The sequence below is a fragment of the Homo sapiens genome, chromosome 1 (genome assembly GCF_000001405.40).
Source record: "Homo sapiens chromosome 1, GRCh38.p14 Primary Assembly".
NCBI lineage: Eukaryota > Metazoa > Chordata > Mammalia > Primates > Hominidae > Homo > Homo sapiens.
In genome coordinates this window covers 63,037,987-63,053,960 of record NC_000001.11, presented here as the reverse complement: position 1 = coordinate 63,053,960, position 15,974 = coordinate 63,037,987, and positions in this window count along the sequence as shown.

Sequence of the window (15,974 nt, the reverse complement as noted above, 5' to 3'; positions counted from 1 at the left end):
TGATAATGTGTATAATATTGTATATTTATAATAATATATATTATATATTATTATAATATATTATAATTATAATATACTATATATTATAATATATATAATATATATTATATATAATAATATATATAATATATATTATATATAATAATATATATAAGAATTTGTATAATATTGTATATTTAAAAGTTGCTAAGAGAGATTTGTTTGCACCACCAAAAAATGATATGAGGTAATACATATGCTAAATAGCTTGATTTAGCCATTCCACAATGTATACATATATCAAAACATCACATTGTACACCATAAACATATGTGATTTTCACTTGTCAGTTAAAAAACATAAATAATAAAAAAGATACCAATACTGAAGCTACATTCCTAGAGATTCTGATTTAACTGGGATGGGGCCGAGGCATCAGCATTTTTGAAAGCTCCCCAGGTGAGGTGAATGTGCAGCCAGGTTGAGAACCACTGCCCTTACACTGAGACGTGGTCGGGGTACTTCCCAATTTCTGGAACAAGGTTGCCTTGTTTATATCCCAGCTCTGCTACTTACTAACTCCCTGACTTCGAGAAAGATCATTAAGATTACTGTACCTCAATTGTCTTATCTGTAAAGTTACGATGAAAATAGTACTTGCTTCCTAGGGTGGACATGAGGATTAAATGCGTTTGAATATAGACAACATTTAGGACCTGACACGTGGTCAGACTCACGGTGTTTTCATTTGTAACCTGGAAACTGTCACCACAAGAGTCTGCACATACAAACCTTAAAGAAACCTTGTACATGTGTCTAATTTTTCTTCAAATAAAGAGTTCTGTGAACAGAATTTCTTATAATTTACTTATAAACAAGTAATTACCAAAATCAATTTTAAGAAAGGTGTTTGTTTTCCTATGGAATATTCACAAATGAAGAATTGTGCTCATTCATTTACTCACTCATCTATTTACTCACTTTCTCAAAACCATTCATTTGCCCCTTTGGTCTTTGGATAAGGGTCTGGGCTCTGGATCCAGACTGCCTGGGTTTGAATCTGGCTCTACCACTTCCAGCTGTGTGACCTTGGAGGAGCGATTTAACCTCTCTGTGCTTCAGTTTCCTTATCTGTAAGACAGGGGCCATAAGAGTACCTCTCGCGTATGTTGTTTGAGAGGCCTGAAGCATTTGGCTTATATACGGTGCTTAGAACAGTATCTGGCACATAGTGAGTGCTCACTAAATGCTAGTTATTATGATTATTTCTCTACTTCCCATCATACATCCTCCATCACCCTAACTCCCTCCCCACCACATACACACACACACACACACACACACACACACACGAATGTGAGCTCTGTGAGAGCAGGGATACTGTCAGTCCTGTTCAACACAGTATTCCCAGAATCTAAAACTGTGCCAGGAGGATATAGGCATTCAGAGAGTGTGGTCATTGAATTTATTCAGTCATCCACTCATGCCTTTTGCAAATATCTGAGTGCTTCTGATGTGCTAGGCACTTTGGTAGGCTGTCACATGTGGTATGTTGTAAAGAGGCCGGGGTTCCAAAACTGCCCTGGCCTCATGCCCCCCAGCAATTGATTCCCCTCTCTTGGCCTCAGTTCCCTTACCTACAGAACAAGGGAATGGCCCACATGAGCTCCTCTGTCCCCTCCATGGCCATCATTTTCCTGAAGACAGAGCTTGGCTCTCCATGGCCGTAGGAAAGCGATCCAATTCTTCAGTGAACCCTTGGCCTGCGAGTGTGGTGGCAAGGAGGCTGTTAGTTTAGCCGACAGTGTTTGGTGAGCTCACGCCATGGGGGAATGCTTTTCTAGACCATGACTAGCAAAGCTTTGCTCTACGCTTCAGGGATTTAGTTAACCTTTCAGAACTTCAAGCCTCTCTGGAGTTTGAGAATCTGTTGTTGTTCTTCAATGTGTGCTGCATTGGAGTGGCTCCAAGGCCCAGTAGGCATTTATCTTTATTTAATTATTTATCCAGAATGTTATGTTTTGGAATTGCCTTGGGAGTAGTAGTCATGACCAACTGACAGAATGCTTAATGAAAGCCTGTCAACACTGTACCTCCATGAGGCTGCTTGAATAAGTTAAAAATATATATATGACCCCCACTTACTGAGTACTTCTAAGCCTCCCCAAGTTTCTTGCTTACTTAATTTGGGTGGCATTAGCCCTCACACATTTGATGAAAAAAAAATCAACCATACATGCAAAAGGCAAAAAAGGGATAGAATTCATTCATTCCCTTCTTCCCCCAGATATTGCCTTTTTCTTAAAGAAGAGAAATACATTTGCCCCTGAGCCCCTAGATGTGAGGTCATCCCAGGACTTCTATCTCTGCCACAGTCAAGTAACAGAGTCACCCTAGACTTCTGAGCGTCTGGCTACAGTCCATGCCTATTGGCTCACGTGGTCTCCGCCAGTCCTGGAGCTTCCACCAGCTGACATGCCACCTTGAGCAAGTCGTTTTCACTCTGGGCTAGTCTTTTCTTCTACAGCTAAGGAGGTTGGCCCCTTTGGATTCTAACATTTCAGCATCACACCTCTGACTCTCTTGAGACCACCATGACTCCAGATTATTCCTGCTTCGATCTTGGATTTGATCTTCTTCCTGCCTTTGACCTAAAATAGGGGTGGGCAGGCTTTTTGGTAAAGATCCAGAGAGTAAATATTTCAGGCTTACGGTCATAGGGCCTCTGTTGCAATTACTTAACTCTGCCATTGTAGCAGAAAGCAACCATAGACAACACATAAATGAATGACTGTGGCTGTGTTCTAATACAACTTCATTCACAAAAACAGGCAACTGGCCTCTGGCTGTAGTTTACCTACTTCTGACCTCCCCAACATCCCCGTCCCCAACCCCCGTACACACAGGTCCCCGTGTATTCTGACCAGCCCTGCTGACTACGCTCTATCGTAATGATCAAGTAATTTCAAGATAGCGATTATTTGTCCCCTTCCAATGCGTAGCAGCCAAATGTATTGCTTTTGTTTTGTTTACTTACCCATATATTATCCACCCATCCTTTCTTCCATCCATTTCATTTAACATACATTTACTAATAATCTATCATAGCACAGACACCCCTGAGTTCTGGGAATACAGGAGGAAACGCTGTCCACATCTGGTGGGGAGCTCAGCTCAGTGCTGCTGGGGATTCTGGGTATCTTTGGAGAGAGATGTCCAAGGCCGGGTCAGATTGCTACCCCGTTTCTTTTTCTCCATTTTCAATATTTTCCCAGGACCCTAAGAAACATCTGCATTCTAATTGTGTCTCTTGATTCAGTTTGTAAGTATGGTCACTCTCTCTACCTCTCTCCCAGCTCTTTTAATTTGAGGAGGTATTTTTCTCCTTAGTTAAATAAGAGGTGCTCATATTCTCCATCTGCCCAAGAGAATGTTGCACAAAATAGCAGTAAAGGACTTCTCCTAGACTCTGAATGGAAGTAGATTACCTTTGGGATACCTCTGCCAACAAAGAGAACACTTCATTCTTAGAATTTCTATATACTCATATAGAATCCCAGCTGAGCCATCGGGACAAAGATGCCAAAATACTCAGGTTAGCTGAATCACTCCTTTAACAGGAGGATTTCACTAGCAAGAAAAAAAAAAGAAAATCAATATTCCTTTGTCTAGGCTAGGAAAAGTGCTAAAGCTACTTAGGCCATTAAAGAGCAATGGCTACAAATAAAAACCAATATCTCCCATCATTAGTAGTAAAGTTGCTGTTGAGTTTTATTTCTCTCATCAGGAGACACACATAAATTTTCAAATATGGCAAGCATGGAAAGTAAAGTGACTCCCAAATCTTGGGCACAGAAAATTGAGAGTGTTCTCACTTGAAATTATAATAAAAATTTCCAATAACATATATTTTCTCATTTTTTAGGAGAAAGGATTATTTGACTAATAATGGATGATAGCAGTGATGATCACAATGATGATTTCATCCAGAAAATGAATTATTTGAAGGAGGACATAACCAATTTCAGCCCACTGGAATCCCATTTATTACATAATGCATAATTGAGTGAATTGAGTGAATGAGTGGGCCCACCTGTTTCTCATTTTTTCTTTCATCTTTCCTTTCTCAAATGTTTATTAAGCCACTAGTGATGTTTTAAGCACTGAACTAGATTCTAGAAATAAAATTAGAGCAAAGACACCATCATTCTGCTTAAAATCCTTCAATGGCTGGCTTTTGCTTTTAGGCAGTTTAATGCCATCTGTCCCCTGCCCACCTCTCCAGCTGCATCTCTCCCAACTTCTCCTCTCATTCTCAGTATCACAGTCATCTGGGCCTTTCAGTGCCCCTCAACACGCCCCACATCCCTCTTCCCACAGGACACTTCACACGTGGTGTTTCCTATGCCAAACTTCCCTGTGTCAAACCCAGACTCACAACCTCAGAATACAACTGGCCATGCCTAACTCCTAGTCAACCTTAAGGTTACAGGTTAATTTTTTTTCTTCAAGGAGGCCTTCCCTGACCCCATGGACTTGGTTTGATCACCTTTTTATGTACTTTCAGGTCACTCACCACAACTTAATCCATTACCTGCGTAGTTTCTGTAATGACTTGTTTAGTACCTCCCTTCTGCTTTGAATCATAGTTTCATGAAGGCAGAGACTGGTTCACCACCATCCTACAGATCTCAACACCATGCTTAGCATGTGGTGGAGACAGCCCAGCACTTTGGCATGGGGAATGGGGACTCAAAGTGGACCCTGGGAAACCCTAAGGATAAATTTGATCCAGTTTCACGATTTTGCCTCTCATTAGTCTTGTAAAAAAAGCAGAGGATGATAATGATTACACATACAGACACGCGTGTGTGCATACATTTTTTCAGATAGACTTTATTTTTAAAAGTAGTTTTAGGTTCACAGCAAAATTGAGTGGAAAGTTCAGAGAGTTCCTATATAACTCTTGCCCCTAAAGCCCTGCCATCACACACGCAAACTTCTTCACTGTCATCATCTCGCACAGTGTGATACATTTATTACGATCAACAGACCAACAATGGCACATTATTAACGCCCAAAGTCCATAGTTTACATTAGGGTTCATTCTTATACATCCTGTGAGTATTAACAAATGTGTAATGACATGTATCCATTATTATAGCACCCTATAGAGCAGGGGTCCCCAACCTCCAGGCCATCCATGGCCTGTTAGGAACTGGGCTGCACAGCAGGAGGTGAGCAGCAGGTAAGCGAGCATCACCGCCTGAGCTGCCCCTCCTGTCAGATCAGTGGCAGCATTAGATTCTCACAGGAGTGCAAACCCTATTGTGAATTGCACAAGTGAGGGATCTAGGCTGCACGCTCCTTATAAGAATCTAACTAATGCCTAATGATCTGAGTTGGAAGTTTCATCCCAAAACCATCCTCCACACCCTGCCCATGGAAAAATTGTCTTCCACAAAACCAGTCCCTGGTGCCAAAAATGTTGGGGACCACTCCTATAAAGTAGCTTCAATACCCTAAAAATCTCTGTGCTCCACCTAGTCATCCCTTCCTTTCCACACCCCTAGCAACCACTCATCATTTTATTATCACCATAGTTATGCCTTTTCTAGAATGTCATGTAGTTGGAGTCCTACAGTCTGTATGCAGCCTTTTCTCACTGGCTTCTTTGACTTAGGAATATGCATTTTAGATTCCTCCCTATCTTTTCATGGCTTGATAGCTCATTTCTTTTTAGCACCAAATAATATTTAATTGACTGGATGTACCACAGGTTATCCATTCACTTACTAAAGGACATCTTGGTTGATGTTAAGTTTTTGGCATTTATAAATATCCATGCGCAAGTTTTTATGTGGATGTAAGTTTTCAACTCATTTGGGTAAATGCTAAAGAGCACAATTGTTGGGTCAAATGCTAAGAGTATGTTTAGTTTGGTAAGAAACTGCCAAACTGTCTTATAAAGTGGCTCTACCATTTTACAGTCCCATCAGCAATGAATGGGAGTTCCTGTTGCTGTACATTCTCTCAGCATTTGGTATTGTCAGTGTTTTGAATTTTGATCATTCTGATAGGGGTGGAGTGGTATCTCATTGTTTTGATTTGCAATTCTCTAATAACATATGATGTCGAATATCTTTTTATATGCTTGTCATCTGTACATCTTCTTTGGTGAGGTGTCTGTGTACGTCTTTAGCTCATTTTTTCATTGGGTTGCTCATTTTCTGAGTTTTAAGAGTTCATTGTATATTTTGGGTAACAGTCTTTTATCAGCTATGTCTTTTGTAAATATTTTCTCCCAGTCTGTGGCTTGCTATTTTTCATTTAAATTAGAAGTCTATAACTTTTCCTGATTGTAGTCTTATATTCTTTAGATTCTTACAGCCTTCTTTGGTTTTCTCATTCCAGAGTTAGGAGAAGATTTCTGAACCTTTCCCTTCTCCCCACACCTGCCTATGTTTTGTGGCAGAGTTAACTTTCATAAGTTGTCAAGCTGCAGGAAGCTTTATTTGTCTTTTACACCCAGAGGATGAAACTCTAGCTGTTATTTTGTGCCAATAACACCTAAAGACAAGTTTCCAAAAATTTCTGAGGCCATATATTGTAAGCAGCTTGCCTGTAACATATAGCTTTTAAACTGAATTACAGTTTCACTTCAGCCTCAGCAATGAAATAAAACTATACAACAACAAAAATAAAGTCTATTAAAGGGACACAGGAGATCTCACACATGCCATTTCTTACAAACATAATAACTGAATTATTAGGAAAATAACTATTGAATAATTAGGACAAGATGCTAACTCAAGGTCCTCACCACCCAGCTGGGGCCCATTCTCTTTACTCAGTGTGTGCAAAATCAGCCTCAAGTTCCAACCAGGTTATGCATTTTGGAAATGATGACCTCCAAGTACAAACATCGTTTGTTTGTTTGTTTTCCTGTGGTTTTCTGTCCCCTGTCAGTCTGACCGAGCTCTCATTTCTGGGCCACAGTTTTACATTAGTATTTTGACTCCTTTTGACTTACTTGGCAGCCTTCCCCCCACACCATCCTGATGTGAAAATGTTCAACTTCGATGTCATATTTTTTGCTGTCTATTTTCAAAGTTTGTTTTCACAGATTACATTCTTAACCCAATTGTCTGTATCTTTCTCATATGAACTGCTTCAGAGTAGAATATGGTGAAATGAATGTTTTGTCTGGTGAAAACTTTTCTAAGTTTCTGTTTCCTTTTCTGTTAAATGTAAAAAAGTACTAGTTTCTACCTTAGGGTTGTTGTGAGGTTGAGTGAGATAATGCGACATTAACAAGTGGCTGGTAGCAAGAGTTCTATAAATGATGGTGATAACAGTGATGATGATGAAGATATAGGATCTTAAGGGCTGTTTATTTTAACTGTATAGCAGATTCCTGACCATGGTAGAGCATTATTGCAATCTTCCTTAGTGCAGTGGGAGCTGCTACAGGCAGATAGTTGCTCATATGGGAACAGCTTATGCAAGCTGGGACTGTGCCAGGACCCCTTGGATGCTTTTCTAGGTGAATCAAATTTACAAAGGAACTTCTCACTTAGACTGCAGCAACACAGGTGACAAGAGAGTACAGTACTTTGGGGTCAATGGAATCAAGTATTTCAAATCAGAACTGCCCTAGAGAACCTGGGCTTATGACTTCAGCATGTATTTCTATTGAAGGAGGCTTTATTTTCCTCCCATAGGATTCCTTTTGTTAACATTGCTTTCTGATTACAGTGGTAATAGATAGTCATTGTGGAGACCTTGGAAATTACAGAAAAAAAAAACTGGAAAATAAACGTCATCCAAATTCTCATTACCCAGAGATAAATGCTATTAAGGATTTTGATGACTTGACTTGTACATATATATATACACACACATATAGTATGTACACATATACATATATGTATACATATATATGTACATATATGTATGCATACATGTATACATATGTACACATATATGTATGCATATATGTACACATATATGTATGCATATATGTACATATGTACATATATGTATATATGCATACATATACGTATGTACATATATGTATACATATACATATATACATATATATACATATATATGTATACATGTATATGTTTGGAGAGAGAGAGAGACTGAGAGATTTTTTTTCCTTCTCAGTTATTTGACTCTGCTAATAGAACCTGAATTTTTTTCAGGAGTTGGTTCAAGATTCCTTGATCTCAGGGAAAGTTGGGGTTGGCACCTGATGGAGAGAGGTGGCCATGTGTGTTAGTCCGTTCTAATGCAGCTATGAAGAAATACCCGAAACTGGGTAATTTATTTAAAAAAGAGGTTTCATTGACTCACAGTTCCACAGGGCTGGGGAGGCCTCAGGAAACTTACTATCATGGCAGAAGGGGAAGCAAACACATCCTTCTTCATACGACAGCAGCAAGGAGAAGTGCAGAGCGGAGGTAAGGAAAAATTCTCTTATAAGACCATCAGATCTCATGAGAACTCACTCACTATTATGAGAACAGGATGGGGGAAACCACCCCCATGATTCAATTATCTACACCAGGTCCCTTCCATGACACGTGGGGATTATGGGAACTACAGTTCGAGATGAGATTTTGGTGGGGACACAGCCAAGCCATACCACTATGTGATCCAGATTTGGCCAATTCAGTGAAAAGGGAATTACAAGGAGATTTTTGACCCTTCCAAAGGGGAAGGGGAAAAAAGGAGAATATTTTATATTACCAAATGAATTTTTAAAAGCCTCTGAGGTGCTTCTTAGCAGGTAGCTGTTTCAAGGCTCTTTGTACTTCAGGATGTCTAGAAGAGATTCATTATTATTTTTTTTTTTTTTTTTGAGACGGAGTCTCGCTCTGTCGCCCAGGCTGGAGTGCAGTGGCGCCATCTCGGCTCACTGCAAGCTCCGCCTCCCGGGTTCACGCCATTCTCCTGCCTCAGCCTCCCGAGTAGCCGGGACTACATGCGCCCGCCACCACGCCCGGCTAAATTTTTTTTGTATTTTTAGTAGAGACGGGGTTTCACCGTGTTAGCCAGGATGGTCTCAATCTCCTGACCTTGTGATCCGCCCGCCTCACCTCCCAGAGTGCTGGGATTACAGGCGTGAGCCACCGCGCCCGGCCGAGACTCATTATTTTTAAATGGAACTTTATTCACTCCACGAACACGCAGGGTACAAATCCTGTCTTCAAAAAGTTGAAACCCAGTAATAAAAGTTGACAGAATTCAAGGCAGAATGAAGCAAGATCCATCTTAAAGACCCAACCATGCTCTAAGGATCTGGCTGGGAGGACAGAGGAGATCAGACCAATGGGGGCAGGGAGCTGGTGGGTGGAGCTGGGGCCTTAGATGGGAAAATCCTTAAGAGTAATTCAGATTCTGATAGGCAGGTTGGGTGGGGGTAATAGGGCATACCCAGCTGAGGAAACAGCTTGAAGAAAGACAGGGGTTATGAAAGCCAAGGCCACGTGTTTCAGCGTGTCACCATTGCCAGGGTCACAGCTTCCATTTATTAAGGACTTACTTTGTGCCATGCATTGTGTTAAGCACGGTCATGTAGCATCTCATTTAATCCTCCTGACCTGTGAGGTCAGACCTGTAGGACATCTGAGGCTCCATGTCTATAAATCATCTGTTGAGGTCACACAGAGAGGACATGAAAGTCTGGGGTCAGAACCCAGGTCTTTCCGTCTCCCTAGCCTGAGGTCTCAAGGATCATAGTTCACAGTGGTGCTTGGATGGAGGGTGGGGAAGCTTCTTGAATTTCTCACTGAGGAGTTTGAGATTTGACTCATAGTGTTACCGGGCCCCACCGCCTACCCAAAGTTAGCCTTGGAGTCAGGGGTTTCCTCACTATAGTCCCTTCGGTGGTCACCAGAAAGATGTTACAGAAAAGGGGTCCAGATCCAGACCCCAAGAGAGGGTTCCTGGATCTTGTGCAAACTTCTGGGAGAGTCCATAGTGCAAAGCAAAGGCAAGTTTATTAGGAAAGAAAAGGAATAAAGAATGGCTACTCCACAGATAGAGTAGCCCTGAGGGCTCCTGGTTGCCCATTTTTATGGTTATTTCTTGATTATATGCTAAATAAGGGGTGGATTATTCATGTCTCCCCTTTTTTGACCATATAGGATGACTTCCTGATGTTACCATGATTCGTAAACTGTCATGGCACTGGGAAGAGTGTAGCAGTGAGGACGACCAGAGGTTGCTCTCGTAGCCATCTCTGTTTTGATAGGTTTTGGCCGGCTTCTTTACTGCAGCCTGTTTTATCAGCAAGGCCTTTATCACCTGTATCTTGTGCTGACCTCCTATCTCATTCTGTGACTTACAGTGCCGAACCATCTGATAATGCAGCCTAGTAAGTTCAGCCTCATTTTACCTAGCTCCTGTTCAAGACGGAGTTGCTCTGGTTCAAATGTCTCTGACAGTAGCACCCCAAGGAAGTCCTAGATGATGTACAGACCCCGGACTCCTACAGCATTTGCTTAGGCCCACATCCTCCAAACTGAGAGGGAGTCCAAGGGAACAACCTGGGCACAGGGACAGAGTTTTGAAGAGGAGAGCTGAAAAAAACAGAAACAAAACCCAAACCCTCCAAATTTCCTGCTCAAAAGACCCAGCTCAGTGGCTTTTTGTTCTTTTTCCTCCTAAGTGTGAGAAAAGAAAAGAACCTTTATCTGAGGGATCCTTTTAATGATCAGAGAGGCATTAAAATGAGACAGCAAACACATTCTACCTCCCTACTTTTGAGCTCTGTGTTCATCTCTTGAAACGGCTTGCTATTGTCACAGATAGCTATAAATTAACCTACTGAAGTCACACTGAACCCTGTAACCCACACCCTATAGCCTAAAGGTGTATAGCCAATCACTAATCAATGTTACTTTTGTAAACCAATGAGAATTTCTGACAAACAACTTTGTATCACCCCACTCCCGGTCCCCTTTTCTTTGCCTTTACAAATCCACTTGTCACTGCTGCTAATTGCAGTGCGTATTCAGGGCAACTTGAATCTATGCTCTTGGGTTGCAGCCCTCAAGCTTGGCCCAAATAAACTCTCTACTTAGATTAATTTTACCTCAGCTTCTTCCTTTTAGGTCAAAAAATGTTACAACTATAGCTTTTGCCAGTTGTAACAAGCTATAGTTATACAACTATAGCTTTTGCCAGTTCCATACAGAATGCATGGAAGAAAAGGGAGAAAGATTTGTAGAGGCATAGGGCAGGATAGGAGAGGGAGGGAGGAAGAAAACACCGATGCTAGAAGCAAAACTAAAGAAGAAGAGAAAAATAAAATGACTGTGACAAAAGGCAGCATTAACATCCCAAGGAACTCCTAGAAGATGCACAGACCTTAGACTCCTATAGCATTCGCTCAGGCCCACATCCCCCCAGACCGAGAGGGAGTCCAGGGGAACAATTGAGCCATCCACTTAGCATAACTTATTTTAACTCCTGGCTCAATGCCAGGCTTGTACCTCTGAACTCACTGTGTGTACTCACAGTGCAGTGAAACTGCTCTGCATCCGGGATAACAAAGCAACTGTTAATGGGAGTAATTAAGAGCCTTGGGGGTGATTTATACCTTTTGTTACTGTTCAAGAAGAGGTAACCAAAGACAACAATTATTAGTAACACAGGTGATCCTTAACCCACGCAGGGAAGGCTGTGAAAACTAGCTCCGGCTCTTGCTTCTGGGCCGAGAGTTCACAGAAAAAGAACCAAGCAGGATCCACAGGCAAGAGAACTGGGAGACGGTGCCCACAGGGTTGACTCAGCTTAGGAAATATGAAAATCTTCAGCCTCTTTAATGAAACTAAAATATTGACAAAACTCTGGAGGAAGAGACGATGACAGCCCTCCAGTGCTGATCTTCCTGAGAAACACTTCACTTTATTGGCTGGATTTAAAAAAAAATCTTTAAACCTCTGTTTCCATTAATGTTAAAAAGGTAATGACGGAGGGAGCATTGTGTAAGTCGATAGCAATAGCTGGTTGGTGCTGAAGGTGAAGAGGGACCCAAGTCCTGAACCTCAGCTTCAAGAAGTCAAACAATGCCAAGGAGGGAAAGGTCAGAGCATGTGAGAAAATCTGTTGCTCTACATGGAAGAACTCGAAGCACATGTGAGAGGACAGCCCTCCCTGCATGCTGGATCTAGGCCTCCCCCTTCACCTGTATGCCTTGTTCTCAGCCTTCCATGCAGCTGCTCTAGGCTCTGGCTGGCTTGTGACAGCAGCTTCCCAGCCAACTGCCCAACAAGATGATCCTAATTGAGTTATTGGATTGGTACCTTGCCCCAGATTCACTCTAATTTTTTTTTTTTGAGAAAGATATAATTTACATACCATTAAATCCACCATTTTGAAGTGTAGAATTCAGCGGCTTTTAGTTTATTCACAAAGTTGTGTGACCATCACCATTATTGAATTCCAGAACATTTTCACCACCCCTCAAAAGGAATACTATCCCTATGAACTTGCCCATTCTGGACATTTCGTGTAGATGGAGTCATATGCCATGTGGCCTTTGGAGTCTGGATAATGTTTCAATGTTAATCCATGTTGTAGCATGCATCAGTACCTCATCCCTTTATGTGGCTGGATAATATTTTATTGTATGAACATATCACATTTTGTTGATTCATTCATTTGGGTTGTTTCCACTCTGACTATTATGAATAACGCTGCTATGTGTATTCATGTACAAGTTTTTGTGTTAATGTATATTTTCAATTCTTTTTGGGTATTTACCTAGGAGTGGAATTGCTGGGCTATATGGTAACTCTATGTATAACTTTTTGAGGAATCATTAAACTGATTTCCACAATGGCTGCACTATTTTATTTTATTTATTTATTTATTTGAGACTGAGTTTCACTCTTATTGCCCAGGCTGGAGTGCAGTGGCGTGATCTCAGCTCACTTCAACTTCCACCTCCCAAGTTCAAGCGATTCTCTTTCTTCATCCTCCTGAGTAGCTGGGATTACAAGTGCTCCCCACCACACCCAGCTATTTTTTGTATTTTTAGTAGAGACGGGGTTTTGCCATGTTGGCTAGGCTGGTCTCGAACTCCTGACCTCAGGTGATCCACCCACCTCAGCCTCCCAAAGTGTTGGGATTACAGGTGTGAGCCACCATGCCCGGATGCACTATTTTATTAATACATTTCCACCAGCAATGTATGAGGGTTCCAATTTCTAGCCATTCTTGTGGGTGTGAAATGATATCTCTTGGTGGTTTTGATTTGCATTTCCCTAAGAACTCATAATGTTTAGCATCTTTTCATGCACCTATTGGCCATTTACGCATCTTATTTGTAGAACTCTCTATTCAAATCTTTTGCTCATTTTTAATAGGGTTGTCTTCTGATTATTGAATCATAAGGATTCTTTATATAGCCTGAATACTAGATCCTTATCAGATATATGATTTGCAAATATTTTCTCCCATTCTATGAGTTGTCCTTTTAAGTACTTGATAGTGTCTTTTGACATAAAAGTTTTTAATTTGATGAAGTCCAATTATCCAGTTTTTGTTTGCTTGTGTGTTTGGTGCCATGTTTAAGAAACTGTTGCCTAGCTCAGGGTCACAAAGATTTATACTTATGTTTCCCTTCTGAAAGTTTTATACTTTCATTTTGGTCTTTGCTATATCTTGAGTTAATTTTTGTATTGTATATGGTGTGAGGTAAGAGTCCAAATTCATTCTTTTTTCATTTATTCTTTTTCATTCTAGAAAACCAGAACATCCAGCTTCCCAGCATTATTTGGACAAAAGACTATTCTTTCTCCATTGAATTTTTTTAGCATGCTTGTCAAAAATCAATTGACCATAGATGTATAGATTTATTTCTGGACTCTCGATTCGATTCCATGGATCTATATGTCTGCCCTCATGCCAGTACCACTTCTTCTATGTTCATCCTTCTTGTGTTAGTGTTGTTTCATCTTTCATGATTTTACATGCCATATTAAAAACACTGAACTTGGAATTAAGGAGTTCTTTCATGGCTAGCAACATTTGAACTGCTGTTTTCAGGTTCCTTTCCCCCCAATTATTAGAAATTAGGAAATATAGACAAAAATGAAAGAAAATAATTTAAAAACCACCCCAACTCACCACTCTGAAGCCACCAGCCTCCCCTCCCCAACCCCACCGCCAGAATTGAGAGCTACCATTTTCTGGGTCAAAGGGTAAATGAAGTTTAAGACTTTGGGTAAATATTGCCAAACTTACCTTCAGAAAGGTTGTGCCATCTTGTGGACCATTAGATGTTTAGAGAATGTAGAAATAGTGATTGGATAGACACTAGAAAACCAGTTTTAGATATGGTAAGTTTTGAGTTCATTTTTATTGCACATACTTCATTGGAGGCAGCATAAGAGGCAAGCAGGGTCATTTGAAGACCCTAGGCCCTAGACAATCTTATTTTGAAGGCTCCAGCCACATCAAACCAAACACATTAGAATGCATTCACATGCAAAAATCACACACATTTTTTTTCTGGCCATATAGAATTTGAAAGGACTTTTAAAATCGTAAGTCTGCTAAGAATTATTTAATTTTCCTTGTGATTTGTATTGTTGACTTGTTCCACTAAACCAATTGACCAGCATTACATTTTGTAAACATTTAATTAAACGTACAGTTGTCCCTTGGTACCCATCAGGATTGGTTCCAGCAACTCTCGAAGATACCAAAATCCACAAATTCTCAAGTCCCTGATATAAATGTGTAGTATTTGCATATAACTTAACAATCATTTTTCGTATACTTCAAACTGTCTCTACATTACTTATAATACTTAGTACAATGTAAATGCTCTGTAAATAGTTGTTATACTATATTGTTTTGTAAAATTTGTATTTTTTTATTGTATTGTTTTAAAAAAATTTCCAAATACTTTATTTTATTTTTAATTTATTTTAGAGACAGGGTCTTGCTCTGTCACCCAGGCTGGAGTGCAGTGGCACGATCATAGCTCACTGTAACTTCAAACTCTCAGACTCAAGCAATCTTCCTGCTTTAGCTTCCCAAAGTACTGGGATTACAGGTATGTGCCACCATGCCTGGTTAATTTTTTAAATTTTTTTGTAGAGACAGCATTTCTCTGTGTCGCTCAGGCTGGCCTCTAACTCCTGGTCTTGAACTCATGGCCTCAAGTAATCCTCCTGCCTCACCTCTCAAAGTGCTGGGATTACAGACGTGAGCCACTGCACCCAGTCAGTTTTTAAATATTTCAATCAGCAGTTGGTGGAATCCGTGATTGTGGAATCCATGATATGGAAAGCTGATTATACTAATTTTTATTGTGTAATGTTCTTCCTCCACCCCCCACCCACCCCGTTTTAAAAAATTGTAAATTCACATGCAGTTTTTGTTTTGTTTTGTTTTGTTTTGTTTTTTTGAGACAGAGTCTCGCTCTGTCGCCCAGGCTGGAGTGCAGCGGCGCGATCTCGGCTCACTGCAAGCTCCACCTCCCGAGTTCACGCCATTCTCCTGCCTCAGCCTCTCGAGTAGCTGGGACTACAGGCGCCCGCCACCACGCCCGGCTAATTTTTTTTTTTTTGTATTTTTAGTAGAGAAAGGGTTTCACCGTGTTAGGCAGGATGGTCTCGATTTCTTGACCTCGTGATCCGCCCGCCTCGACCTCCCAAAGTGCTGGGATTACAGGCTTGAGCCACCGCGTCCAGCCTCACTTGGCAGTTTTAAGAAGGAATACTTGACCCAGTTTCCTCCAGTTTTAACATTTTGCAAAACTATAGTACAATGTAGAAACCAGGATAGTGACATTGATACCATCTGTTTTATTCAGATTTCTCATCTTACTTGTGTGTATGTGCATGTAAGTTCTATACAATTGTATCACCTATATGGGTTCCAACATAGTCAAGATACTGAACAGTTAAACATCACAAGAATCTCTCATGTTGCCCTTTTGCAATGTTCTTTTAATATTTTGAGGA